Genomic DNA, 13,980 nt, shown 5'->3' on the forward strand with positions numbered 1-13,980 from the left:
CTCTTCTTACGGAAGGAACTATGTTTCACAAATTCCTATTTGGAATCTCTTACCTCCAATATGGCTGCAGATGGAGAGAGAGCCTGCTAGGAGGTAACTAGGGTTAAAGAGGTGATCAGGGCAGGATCCTGACACCACGGGATTACTGTCCTTATAAAGAGAGACACTATAGAGCTTTCTCCCTCCCCTACCCTCCCTGCGTGCCCTGAGGGATGGTCATGTGGGGACATGGCCAAAAGGTAACATCTGCAAATTAAAAAGAGAGTCCTCACCAGCAAGAAAACCTTTCTGGACCTTGAGCTTTGCCTTTCTAGGCTCCTAAACTGTTAGAAATAACATTTCTGTGGTTTAAGCCATCCAGTCACATCCATTTTGGTGTCACAATCCCTGCAAACACTCCACCCTACCTACCCTCTCTGAGTAGGATCAGTATCAGGAAGCCCTCGTGGACATGGGGCCCGCCTTTGCTCCTCTTCCTGCTGCTGTTCTGACTCTGATGAGGAGGGAGGACTGCGGCTTCATCCTCAGTTCGTTTGCATTAAGCAGAAAGATTTACTTGTTTTCAGCCTGTTTTGCTTTCTGATTGAAACTTAATCAAACTGAATGAACTACTTCTTTGGTATTAATATTTGGGAATGTTCATGTTTGTTTCCCACTTAGATGCCAGTGGCAACATCGTGTGGACCCTGTATCCAGCCCCTATCCCGGCGTCCCAAGTGAGAGGGTCACTTTCACCAGCAGGGCTGACCAGAGTATGAACAGCATCCTAGCTCAGTTCCAACGGAACCCAGGCCTGGCTCTGAGCTCCTGCTATCCCCTGGACACCATGCCTGCCCTGGTTAAGGGCCATGGGCTTGGACAGATGTCATTCTGACTATCAGCATCCAAGCTGCCTTCAGGGGCACATGCCCCCACCTCCCGTCATTACTGGTGCACAAACCTCGCCCCAGCTCCTGCTCTGCCTGGAGTGCTGCTGAAGATCTGGGGCCTTCTCAGTGGAGCAGAATGGGAGGCAGCTCTGAAATCTTAAACCCCCTTCTCCTCCCACTAGCTTCCCACCTTCCGTATGGGCACCTCCTGAGCATCTGATGAGCATCACAGAGTAGAGAATGTCAATGTGTTTTCTCCCACATCCTGCTCTGAATTTATAAGGCCAATTTATCCTCGCCTCACACATGAGCTGCCCTTGTCTTCAGGGATGTGATCCTTGTTTCTCTCACATCCTGTCACAGTGTTGACAACCTAGTTTTGACTTCACTCCATGAATCCTTTTGGAAATATTATGGTCAACAAGTTGTCGTCCTTGAATAACACACAATAAAAATAACAAATATTCAGAAGGTTTTGCATGGGGGAGAAATGTTTCATTGTGAACAGAGTTCCAGCAGCTGTGTGTGCCATAGAAGCTGGGCAGAGAGATCCCATATGGCTCCAGTTAGAGGGGAGGCTGCCAACGAGCCATGGAGGGCTTTTGTCTTGTGACCACACCTGTAAGCCTTTCTTATAAGCCACATGTAGCCTAATTCTATGAGCCACATGTGCTGCTCTGTCCTACAGGGACCCCCAGGGGACAAAATGCCCATGCTGAGCTCTGGGTACAAAACATCCTTCTACCAGGAGCCGAGGCCCACTCCCTGCCTCCTCGGCACCTGCTGCTTTGTGTTCCCCAGACCCTTAGCAATCTTAGCAATCCTCAGCAATCCTCAGCATCCTTAGCAATCTATGAGTCAGGGCTTGACCCAGAAAGGAAATGAAGTGAGTCCTGAGCCTCTGACCCTTGGGCTCTGTAGTGGGAAAGTGGCCATGGGGTGGGGCACTATTGCTGGATTTTCTTGTTCATGCTCAATTTACCAAAGTTTAAAACCATGCCTTATAACAACAATTCATATTATATTTATTTACATGAAAAGTGCATATTATATGTATTATATATGTATAAGATATACAAATATATTAATACAAATTACATCTGAAATAGCATAGAAATATATTTAATTTGTAAAGTGTGTTACAATTACATATATGCATATACAAATAATTTATGTTTATTTATTTAGCATGTGCTTCTTTTTCTTCTAACTATAACAGAGTCTGGCTGAGTAAAGACTCTGGAGACATTTGATGACCCTCCCTCTTTGGCACTAGTAGGGTCCTGGCCACTCAGGACCAGTGAGGACAGAACTGAGGAAAGTCGACCTAGGATCCCAGGCCCTGCGCTACGGCTTTGGTCTCTCAGACTTTTACCCTGGCTGAAGGGTTCCTGAAGGATTTGTTCCACATTGAACTGGGCTGACCAGCAAGAAGGAACTATGTGCATGCAGCCTATTTACACTGGGAGGGAAGAAGGAAAGTGTAGCAGGAAATAGAAGATGGGTGGCAAAAGTCTCCCCTAAAAGCCACTTAACTCTTAGGATGACTGAAGCTTCATCCCATGTGGAAATATCGGGACAATGCCTCTGGGCTATTCCATCTGAGGGGAGAGAGCTGGGGTATGTTATCATACTCCTGTTATCATCTACTGATAGTGTCTCTCTTAGTCTGCTGTGTCTTGGTATAACAGAATGCCTGAAATTGTAACTGATAAAGAGCAGACAATTATTCTCTCACACTTCTGGAGGATGGGAAGTCTAAGATCAAGGAACTGTCAGATTAGGAATCAGTTTATCTACTTTCAAGATGGCACTATGACTCCCGAGTCCTCCAGAAGGAAGGAAGTCCATGTCCTAGCATGACTGAAGAGCAGAAAAGAGAGAGAGAGAAACCCTACTCCCACAAATGGGAAAGAGCAAGGACTCACTCTCAGGAGCCTGCAACCCCCACACCCCAAGCATGGAAAGAATAGAAAATCTTGACTCTCTTCAAAGGAAATTCCAAGCACCTACCTAGCCTTAAGACGTAAGTAAGTAACGTGATAAGCAAGGAAGTAAAAACAGCCTAAAATGGCCAAATAAGCTAGACTCAGAAGATGGTGGGTTCCCCTATAGAAACTGAAGGTGACATTTTAGTATATGTCTCTGAGGTGTTTTTGAGGAAACAAGACCCCCTCCAAATGAATCTGCCAGCACATAGATCTCACAAAAGGGAGAACTGGGGACTGAGCTCTGACCATGGTACTTTGTTCTAAATATCTTACAGAGGGGTCTGGTAAAAGTCATATCCATAAACCTGAGCTAATTCGTCTCTTCTGCTGAACCCAAATGTTTAAACAAAGCTTTTCTTCCTTAGCCAATTGTAAATTAGAAATCTTGTAATCCACCCTTGATCTGTAAGCCCCTGTTTCAAGATATCCTGCCCTTTTAGGCCAAAACCAATATGTGACCTCCATGTATTAATTTTCAATTTGACCTGTAACTTCTGCTTTCCTGAAATTTACTCCTGCCTTAAAAAACCCTTACCTGCAAGCCATCAGTGAGGCCAGGATTTGAATCTTAGCTGCCTGATTCTCTTTACCTGATGCCCTACAAAAAAACAAACAAACAAACAAACAAACCTTTACTTTCTCCTGCTGCAAACTCAATGTGAATATCTGATCTGACTGAGCTGAGTGAGTGGACTCCAGTTCGGTTCCACAGCACAAGCTCTGTTTATAGTGGCATTTATCCACTCATGAGGGCAGAGCTCTCATGACTTCAACACTTCCCATTAGGCCCCACCTCCCAATTCTGTTGCTTTGAGATAAATTTAAAAACAGATGGGTTTTGAAGGACACAGTGAAACCATAACACTGCCCAAAGAGAGGGCCATTCGAGCCCCTGTGGTCTGCTATGCATGCAGGCAGAGCTGCCTTCTCCAGGTTCAGAAAGAGCAATGAGGGGCATAGATGGCCATTGGAAGTCAGCAGCAGTACAGCGAAAGGGAAAGGCATAGCCTGTAGACAGGGATTGCAATCTTGATATATTTTCTATTTAGTTTCCTTTCTAAAAACAGAATAATTTCATGCTAACAGAAGTGTTGTAAGTACAGCACAAAGTGCTTTCTTCCAATTAAGTGCATATTGTATTTTTTAAAAAATAATCTCCATCTCCATACACGAATAAAATACATTACTCCATCTAGTCCTCAGGAATATTTCAAATTTTGACAATTAACTCAAAAAAGTTCTTTGTAACCAAACAGCCTCCAGGAAGAAACACTTATTTACGGACAAATCTGTGATGCCCTGGTCCGACCTGGGACACTGGGGACATTGCTCCTATGCTGAGTTACTGAGAAGAGCCAGCCCTGCAGCTGTGCCCAGCCTGCCCTATCCCCTGCTGATTTGCATGTTCGCAGAGCACAGCCCCCTGCCCTGAAGACTTATTAATAGGCTGGTCGCACCCTGTGCAGGAGTCAGTCCCAACCAGGACACAGCATGGACATGAGGGTCCCTGCTCAGCTCCTGGGGCTCCTGCTGCTCTGGCTCTCAGGTAAGGAAGGATAACACTATGAATTTTCTCAGCCAGTGGGCTCAGTACAGCCTGGCTCTTGATGGAAGCCTTCCTATAATATGACTAATAGTATGAATATTTGTGTTTATGTTTCTAATCGCAGGTGCCAGATGTGACATCCAGATGACCCAGTCTCCATCCTCCCTGTCTGCATCTGTAGGAGACAGAGTCACCATCACTTGCCAGGCGAGTCAGGACATTAGCAACTATTTAAATTGGTATCAGCAGAAACCAGGGAAAGCCCCTAAGCTCCTGATCTACGATGCATCCAATTTGGAAACAGGGGTCCCATCAAGGTTCAGTGGAAGTGGATCTGGGACAGATTTTACTTTCACCATCAGCAGCCTGCAGCCTGAAGATATTGCAACATATTACTGTCAACAGTATGATAATCTCCCTCCCACAGTGTAACAAGTCATAACATAAATCACCCAGGGGAGCAGATGCGTGAGGCTCAGCTGTCCCAGATGCCCCTTCTGGTGCCTTCGCCTGCTGAGAATGTTTCTCAAATTGCAGTCACACTTTGAAGTTCACTGGAGAGTTTTTGTAAAAGGGCCATGAAGGCCCACTTCATCGTAGCTGTCTTTCCTTGTCCTAATCCCCAGTATCATAGACAGGGCAATGCCTCTCCTGATTTCATTGAGAAGAAATGGTTACACCTGAGGGGTCTGAGTTGTAGCATCAGTTGGAATTCATGTAGCAATAGTGAGCCACTCTAGGTATTCCAAGTAGGATTTTTTTTAAATACAAGATGTGAGAATCTAAACTACAGCCTTTTAAAGGTTTGCAAGTATAGTAGTCAAAGACGCAAATACTAGAGAAGAGGAATTCTCTTCTGGAATCCAGAATGCATCTGATAGAGAAGGTACAACTGCCAATCATGTGGTCCTCAGACCTTTCTGAGAAGCCCATGGGTGGGGGTGCAGATGCTCTCAGCTGCCTAGAGGACTTCATCAGGTGCTTCTGCAGTCCTCACCTCGGTCCATATGTCTTGCTGCAGGTGTTGATGGATAGTATTGAATCCTCCTCTTCTTACTTCTCAATCTCAGGGCAGGCCCCACACTGGGCAACTCCACCAAAAACCAGAGAAGGCATAGGGTTTCTGGCAAATGTGCTTCCAGAATAATAGTGATGATGGGGAAGTGACAGCTGACATCGTAGTGTGGTCATGTATCTCGACTCTCAGGATTTTTTCAGTGAAGTGATGGCCTCAGAATACACTTGGATGTACTTCCATATACTATGAGTAAGTTTGAAATCATAGCATGAAAATGATATTTAGTCATATGATAAATAGAACTACATGGCTACATTAATCAAAATAGCATAGTGCTGGTACAAAAAGATACACAGACAAATGGAACAGAATAGGGAACTCAGAAATAATGCTGGAGACCTACAACCATCTGATCTTCAACAACCCTGACAAAAACAAGCAATGGGGAAAGTACTCCCTATTTAATAGATAATGCTGGGAGAACTGGCTAGTCATATGCCAAAAATTGAAACTGGACCCCTTCCTTACACCTTACACAAAAATGAACTCAAGATGGATTGAAGACTTAAGTGTAAAACCCCAAACTATAAAAACCCTAGAAGAAAATCTAGGCAATACCATTTAGGACATAGACACGGGCAGAGATTTCATGACAAGAATGCCCAAAGCATTGCAACAAAAGCAAAAATTGACAAATGTGATCTAATTAAACTAAAAAGCCTCTGCACAGCTGAAGAAACTATCATCAGAGTGAACAGACAACATTAAGAATGGGAGAAAATTTTTGCAATTTATTCATCTGACAAAGGTCTAATATCCGGAGTCTATAAGGAACTTAAACAAATTTACAAGAAAAAAAAACAACCCCATTAAAAGGTTGGCAAAGGACATGAACAGACACTTAAAAGAGGACATACATGAGGCCAATAATCATATGAAAAAAAGATCAACATTACTAATCATTGAAGAAATGCAAATCAGAAACACAATGAGATACTATCTCACACCAGTGAGAATGGCGATTATTAAAAAGTCAAAAAACAATAAGTTAGGCAACGTGACTCACACCTGTAATCCTAGCCCTTTGGGAAGCCGAGGTAAGTGGATCACTTGAGGTCAGGAGTTCAAGACTAGCCTGGCCAATATGGCGAAATCTCATCTCTACTAAAAATGCAAAAATTAGCTGGAGGTGGTGGTGGATGCCTGAAATCCCTGTTCCTTGAGGGGCTGAGGCACAAGAATCGCTTGAACCTGGAAGACAGAGGTTGCAGTGAGCTGAGATCATGCCACTGCACTCAAGCCTGGGTGACAGAATGATATTCCTTCTCAGATTAAAAAAAAAAATCAAAAAACGACAGATGCTGCGGAGGTTGTGGAGAAATAGGAAAACTTCTACACTGTTAATGAGAATGTAAATTACTTCAACCATTCTGGAAGACAGTGTGGTGATTCTTCAAAGATTTAGAACTGGAAATACCATTTGATTCAGCAGTCCCATTACTGGATATATACCCAAAGGAATATAAATCATTCTACTATAAAGATACATGCATGAGTATGTTCATTGCAGCACTATTTACAATAGCAAAGACATGGAATCAACTCAAATGCCCATCAATGATAGAACAGATAAAGAAAATATGGTACATATGCACCACGGAATACTATGCAGCCATAAAAAGGAATGAGATCATGCCCTTTTCAGGGACATGGATGGAGCTGGAAGCCATTATCCTCAGTAAACTAAGGCAGGAACAGAAAACCAAACACTGCATGTTCTCACATATAAGTGGGAGCCTAACAATGAGAGTACATGGACACGGGAGGAAACGACACACTGAGGTCTGTGGTGGAGGGAGAAGGAGGAAGAGAGGGAGCGTATTAGGAAGAATAGCTAATGGATGCTGGGCTTAATACTGAAGTGATGGGATGATCTGTGCAGCGAACCACCACAGCACACGTCTACCTATGTAACAAACCTGCACATGTGCCCTGGACCTTAAAGTAAAAGTTGAGGAAGAAAAACCATTACATATATATATAAACATTATATATATACACATTATATATATAAACATTATATATATACACATTATATATATAAACATTATATATATACACATTATATATATAAACATTATATATATACACATTATATATATAAACATTATATATACACATTATATATATAAACATTATATATACACATTATATATATAAACATTATATATACAAATTATATATATAAACATTATATATACAAATTATATATATAAACATTATATATATACATTATATATATAAACATTATATATATACATTATATATATAAACATTATATATATACATTATATATATAAACATTATATATATACATTATATATATAAACATTATATATATACATTATATATATAAACGTTATATATATACATTATATATATAAACATTATATGTATACATTATATATATAAACATTATATATATATGTGTATGGTTGACTCATATACATATATATATATGTATATGGTTGACTCATATATATATATGTATATGTATATGACTTAGCCATAAAAATAAATTTAATAATATCTTTCCCGGCAACTTGCATGGAGGTGGAGGCGGTTATTCAAAGTGAAGTAACTCAGGAATGGAAAACCAAATACCTTATGTCCACACTTATAAGTGAGAGCTAAGCTACAAGTACACAGAGGCATACAGAGTGGTCTAATGAACATTGGAGACAGAAGTGGAGAGGGTGGGGGGGGTGAGGAATAAAAAGCTGCATATTAAAAAAAAAAATAGAAATTGCACTAAATAATATAGCAATCATTGGACCAAAAAAAACCTTTGTTGAATACCTGTATGTGTATGTGTGTGTGTATATATACGTACACATATATATATAATCTGATTACCTATATATATGCATACAAACACAGACACACACCTATATATACACAAACACCCACACATAAATATTTTATATATAATATATAATATATATACTATATTATATGTTATATATACTATTATAATATATATAATATATATATTAATAAAATTATATTAATATATAATATATAATAGTATATTATATACATATATAATATATACAATATATAATATCATAATATATAATATGTATTATATATATAAAATATGTGTGTGTGTGTCTGTGTGTGTATGCATATATATAGGTAATCAGAACAGGATTTTATAGTATAATATAGATTTATTGAAAATCATTAAGTTCACATTCCATAAATAAAATGTGTTCATACATATATATGTGTACATTTGCTTATATGTGTTTGTATATATATATGTGTGTGTGTGTGTATACACACAGATGTAACATTCTTATTCTTTTTTTTAATATAAAAACCTTGCTACTCAAAATTTGTCCAGAACCCAGTAGCAACACTAAGAGCATGTTACCAATTCAAAACAGCAAAACCACCTTAGATCAATTGAATGGGAATCTGTATTTTCATAAGATAACAGATGATCCATTGAAGGTTTAAGAAGCTATGTTTTAGGGAATGTTTACTTCAGCTAAGAAATTTTTGTTGTTTTTATCCAACATGTCAATTTAAGAAAATCTGATTAAAGTCACATGTTGAAAACACATCCAATTTTTTTTACTCAATTTGATTTAACTTTAATTAATTTAAGAATAAATTTACTTTTTTAATGCTGAAGGTTGAAATACTTAATTATTTGTCAGTGACATGATCACATACCTTGAAACTTAATTGGAGAAAAGGTTTTAGAACCTTGAGTAATTGCTAAAGCAAAAGAAGAAACCCACATATTGTATACGTGTGTTGCAGCTGATGGGACTTAAATTTGCTTGTGTAGCTTGACCTCAGGATGTTGTTAACTGCCCTGGCTGATCACTGCTCCTTCAGTCTTGACCCCAATTAAAAAAAAATCCATATATTAGAGATAAGCTCAGCGACCTACAGCACAACCACGCAGCTGAGCCCTGTCTAGATCAGCTAAATTATTGTTAATATGAACATCCGTAAACATGAAAATAAATACTAGTATTGTAAGCCTCTGCATTTTGAGTGGTTTGTTACAAACTATTATTGTTGAAAAGCTAATACATTATTAAACATCCACATATATAGACGCATTTAATGAAAATTGACTGCATAAATATGAATACTTAGAAAATCATAAAGAAACAAAAACATAGAAGAAATAATACTTAAATCAGAAGAAATAAAATACAACTTAGCTCATTTATGGAAACATCTAACAGGAATAGTTAGTATTGAGGATACACATATGTAGCAATACTCAACAGAATAATCAGAATGGAACTTTACATATACACTACAGATTGTTGAAAATCATTAGGTTGACATTCCAGGAATAAAACATATGTTTATACATATATGTGTGCATATGTGCATTTATCTTTTTATATATGATATATACATTTGCATATATATTTAGACATTGCTTTCTGCATAAACTTATATAAACAGTTATGTTTTAACAAAGTTGTATGACCACATATGTGTGTATATACTCACATACACACAAGCTACAAGCACATATACAAAATTATCACAGTGCCAAGGAAATGTATTTTGGCCCTTCTAGACCCTAGGTTACAGACAGTACTCAGAGGATGGAAGAATTTTAATAAAACAGATATCAAAACATCATGTGAGGCATGCATACATTTTGTTGAAAAATTTTCTTTTTACAGTCACCATTTTCTTTAAAGTTTTATAAAGTGTTGTTGTCTGGTCTCCTTTGTAATTTAGACCTTAGGTTAAATTTGTGACCCATGAGGAATGCTGGATTCTGGACTGAAGGTTTTTGGATTTTGCCATTCATTTTATTTTATGTTCCAGGATACATGTGCAGGATGTGCAGGTTTGTTACATTGGTAAACAGGTGCTATGGTGATTTGCTGCACCTATCAACCCATCACCTAGGTATTAAGCCCAGCATCCATTAGCTATTTTTCCTGGTGCTCTTCTCCTACCCACCCTCCCCTGAAAGGCCCCAGTGTGTGTCGTTCCCCTCCTTGTGTCCATGTGTGCTCACTGTTCAGCTCCACCTCTAAGTGAGAACATCTGGTGTCTGGTTTCCTGTTCCTGTGTTAGTTTTCTGAGGATAGTGGTTTCTAGTTTCAACCACGTCCCTGCAAAGGACATGATCTCATTCCTTTTTATGGCTGCATAGTATTCCATGGTGTATATATAAAACATTTTATTTATCCATTCTATCATTGATGGGCATATGGGTTGATTCCATGTCTTTGCTATTGTGAATAGTGCTGCAATGAACATACACATGCATGTATCTTTATAGTAGAATGATTTATATTCCTTTGGGTATATACCCAGTAATGTGACTGCTGAGTCAAATGGTATTTCCAGTTCTAAATCTTTGAGTAATCGCCACACTGTCTTCCAGAATGGTTGAACTAATTTACATTCCCACCAACAGTTTAGAAGTGTTTCTATTTCCCTGCAACCTCGACAGCATCTGTTGTTTCTTCATTTTTTAATAATCACCATTCTGACTGGAGTGATATGGTGTCTCATTGTGATTTTGGTTTGCATTTCCCTGATGATCATTGATGTTGAGCTTTTTTCATGTTTCTTGGCCGCATGTATGTCTTCTTTTGAGAAGCGCCTGTTCATGTCCTTTGCCCACCTTTTAATTTTTTTTATTTTTATTTTTGTAAATTTGTTTAAATTTCTTGTAAATTCTGGATATTATAACTTTGTCAGATGAATAAATTGCAAAAATTTTCTCCCATTCTGTAGGTCGTCTGTTCACTATGATGATAGTTTCTTTTGCTGTTCAGAGGCTCTTTAGTTTAATTAGATCTCATTTGCCAATTTTTGCTTTGTTGCAAATGCTGTAGGCATTTTTGTCATAAAATCTCTTCCTGTGTCTATGTCCTAAATGGTATTGCCTAGATTTTTGTAGTTTGGTGGGTTTTCTTTGTTTTTTTTTTTTAATTATACTTTAAGTAGTTTGGGTTTTAATAGTTTGGGGTTTTATATTAAGTCTTTAATCCATCTTGCCTTCATTTTTGTATAAGGCATAAGGAAGGGGTCCAGTTTCAATTTTCTGCATATGGCTAGCCAATTCTCCCTGCACCATTTATTAAATAGGGAGTGCTTCCCTCATTGCTTGTGTTTTTGTTTTTGTTTTTGTTTTTGTTCTTTTTATCAGGTTTGTTGAAGATCAGATGGCTGTAGATGTGTGGTTTTATTTCTGAATTCTCTATTCTGTTCCGTTGGTCTCTGTGTCTGTTTTTGTACCGGTAGCATGTTGTTTTGCTTAGTGTATCCTTGTAGCATAGTTTGAAGTTGAGTAGTATGATGTCTCCAGTTTTGTTCTTTTTGCTTAGGCTTGTCCTGGCTACACAACCTTTGTTGGTTCTATATGAATTTTTAATTTTTTTTTTTTTTTTTTGACGGAGTCTCGCCTTGTCACCCAGGCTGGAGTGCAGTGGTGCCATCTCGGCCCACTGCAAGCTCCGCCTCCTGGGTTCACGCCATTCTCCTGCCTCAGCCTCCCGGGTAGCTGGAAATATAGGTGCCTGCCACCACTCCTGGCTCATTTTTTGTATTTTTAGTAGAGATGGGCTTTCACCGTATTAGCCAGGATGGTCTCGATCTCCTGATCTCGTGATCCGCCCGCCTTGGCCTCCCAAAGTGCTGGGACTACAGACGTGAGCCACCACGCCCGGCCAAATTGTTTCTTCTAATTCTGTGACGAATGTCATGGTAGTTTATTGGGAATAGGATTGAATCTATAAATTGCTTTGGGGAGTGTGGCCATTTTTGCGATATTGATTCTTCCTATCCACCAGCATGGAATGTTTTTCTATCTGTTTGTGTCCTCTCTGATTTTCTTGAACAGTGGTTTGTAATTCTCCTTGAAGAGGTCTTTCACTTTCCTCGTTAGCTGTTATCCTAGGTATTTTATTCTCTTTGTTGCAATTGTGAATAGGAGTTCATTCTTAATTTGGCTATTTGTCTGTCGTTGGTGTGTAGATGCTTGTCAATTGTGCACATTGATTTTGTATTCAGAGGCTTTGCTGAAGTTATCAGCTTAAGAAGCTTTTGGGCTGAGTCAATGGCATTTTCTAGATACAGAATCATGTCATCTGCAAACAAAGATAATTTGAATTTCTCTCTTCCTATTCGAATACCCTTTATTTCTTTCTCTTCCCTGATTGCCCTGGTCAGAACTTCCAATACTATGTTGAATAAGAGTGGTGACAGAGGGGTATCCTTGTCTTGTAATGGTTTTCAAGGGGAATGCTTCCAGCTTTTGTCCATTCAGTATGATATTGACTGTGGGTTTGTCATAAATGGCTCTTATTATTTTGAAGTATATTTCTTCAATACGTAGTTTATTGAAATGAAGTGATGTTGAATTTTATCGAAGACCTTTTCTCCATCTACTGAGATAATCATGTGGGTTTTGTCTCTAGTTCCCTTTATGTGATGAATTATGTGTATATTGAACCAGCCTTGCATCCGGGGATGAAGCCAACTTCATCGTGGTGGATAAACCTTTTGATGTGTGGCTGGATATGGTTTGCCAGTATTTTATTGAGGATTTTTGCATCAATGTTCATTAGGGATATTGGCCTGAAGGTTTTCTCCTTTTTTTTTTTTTTTTTTTAATCTCTGCCAGGTTTTGGTATCAAGATGATTCTGGCCTCTTAAAATAAGTTAGACAGGAGTCTCTCCTTTTCAAGTGTTTGGAATTGTTTCAGAAGGAGTGGTACCAGCTCCTCTTTGTACCTCTGGTAGAATTGAACTGTAAATCCATCTGGTCCTGGGCTTTTTTTTAGTTGATAGGCTTTTTATTACTGCCTCGATTTCAGAACTTGTTATTGGTCTATTCAGGGATTCAACTTCTTCCTGGTTCAGTCTTGGGTGTCCCCATTCTTTAGGTAGAAGTGATCCTGATGTTACTTGTAAAGACAACGTTTGCAATATGTTAGGTGTTAATACATTGCTTTTAATGTGTGAAAAAGGAATTCAAGTGTGGGAAAGTGTGTATTGGTGATGTCAAGCCACAAGGGTGGATGGAGATAGAAAAAGATATGTAGTCATGAAAAACGATGAATGTGAACGGGACTGAATTTAGGGATATTATCAACACAGGGAGAGCTGCAGGATAGGAGTCAGATCTCTGGTAGCTGCTGGCAGGGATGCTGTCCTTCTGTGGGCCGTAGTGAGAGGAACAGCTGTCTTCTCTGCAGGAGGCAGTCTGAATATGGGGTCTCAGGCAGTAAGGACTCCTCCGCAGCCTGAATCGGCAGTACAGTTTGTGAGATTGTTCCAGAGGTTTTGCCTGGAGCCTGTTGTTAAGGCTTTCCAACAATTTTTGAGCTATTTAATATCCCATAATGAATCCCTTTATGCTTAGTGCAGTTCACATTTGTAACCAATACTAATGACCACTCCACATTGAGGGCATGGTTGCCCCCTTTTTTCCTGCTAAATTTAATGCTTTCCAGGTGAATCTACTAGAGAAGGCCAACATGAATAACC

General features: G+C 39.0%; 1 gene segment (V, D, J or C) and 1 further gene, besides 2 other annotated features; both read left to right on the forward strand.

The window, feature by feature from the left end:
• IGK (immunoglobulin kappa locus) overlaps positions 1–13,980 on the forward strand; it is a 1,378,008-nt gene that overhangs the window by 1,052,359 nt on the left and 311,669 nt on the right.
• Positions 4,352–4,406: a sequence feature (IGKV1D-33 leader sequence).
• Positions 4,352–4,826, forward strand: IGKV1D-33 (immunoglobulin kappa variable 1D-33). The segment is given in 2 exon segments: positions 4,352–4,406; positions 4,531–4,826. Coding segments are annotated over 2 exon segments (351 nt in total), but the record flags the coding sequence as incomplete, so codon positions are not given.
• Positions 4,531–4,541: a sequence feature (IGKV1D-33 leader sequence).

This window comes from Homo sapiens, chromosome 2 (genome assembly GCF_000001405.40).
Source record: "Homo sapiens chromosome 2, GRCh38.p14 Primary Assembly".
Classification (NCBI taxonomy): Eukaryota; Metazoa; Chordata; class Mammalia; order Primates; family Hominidae; genus Homo; species Homo sapiens.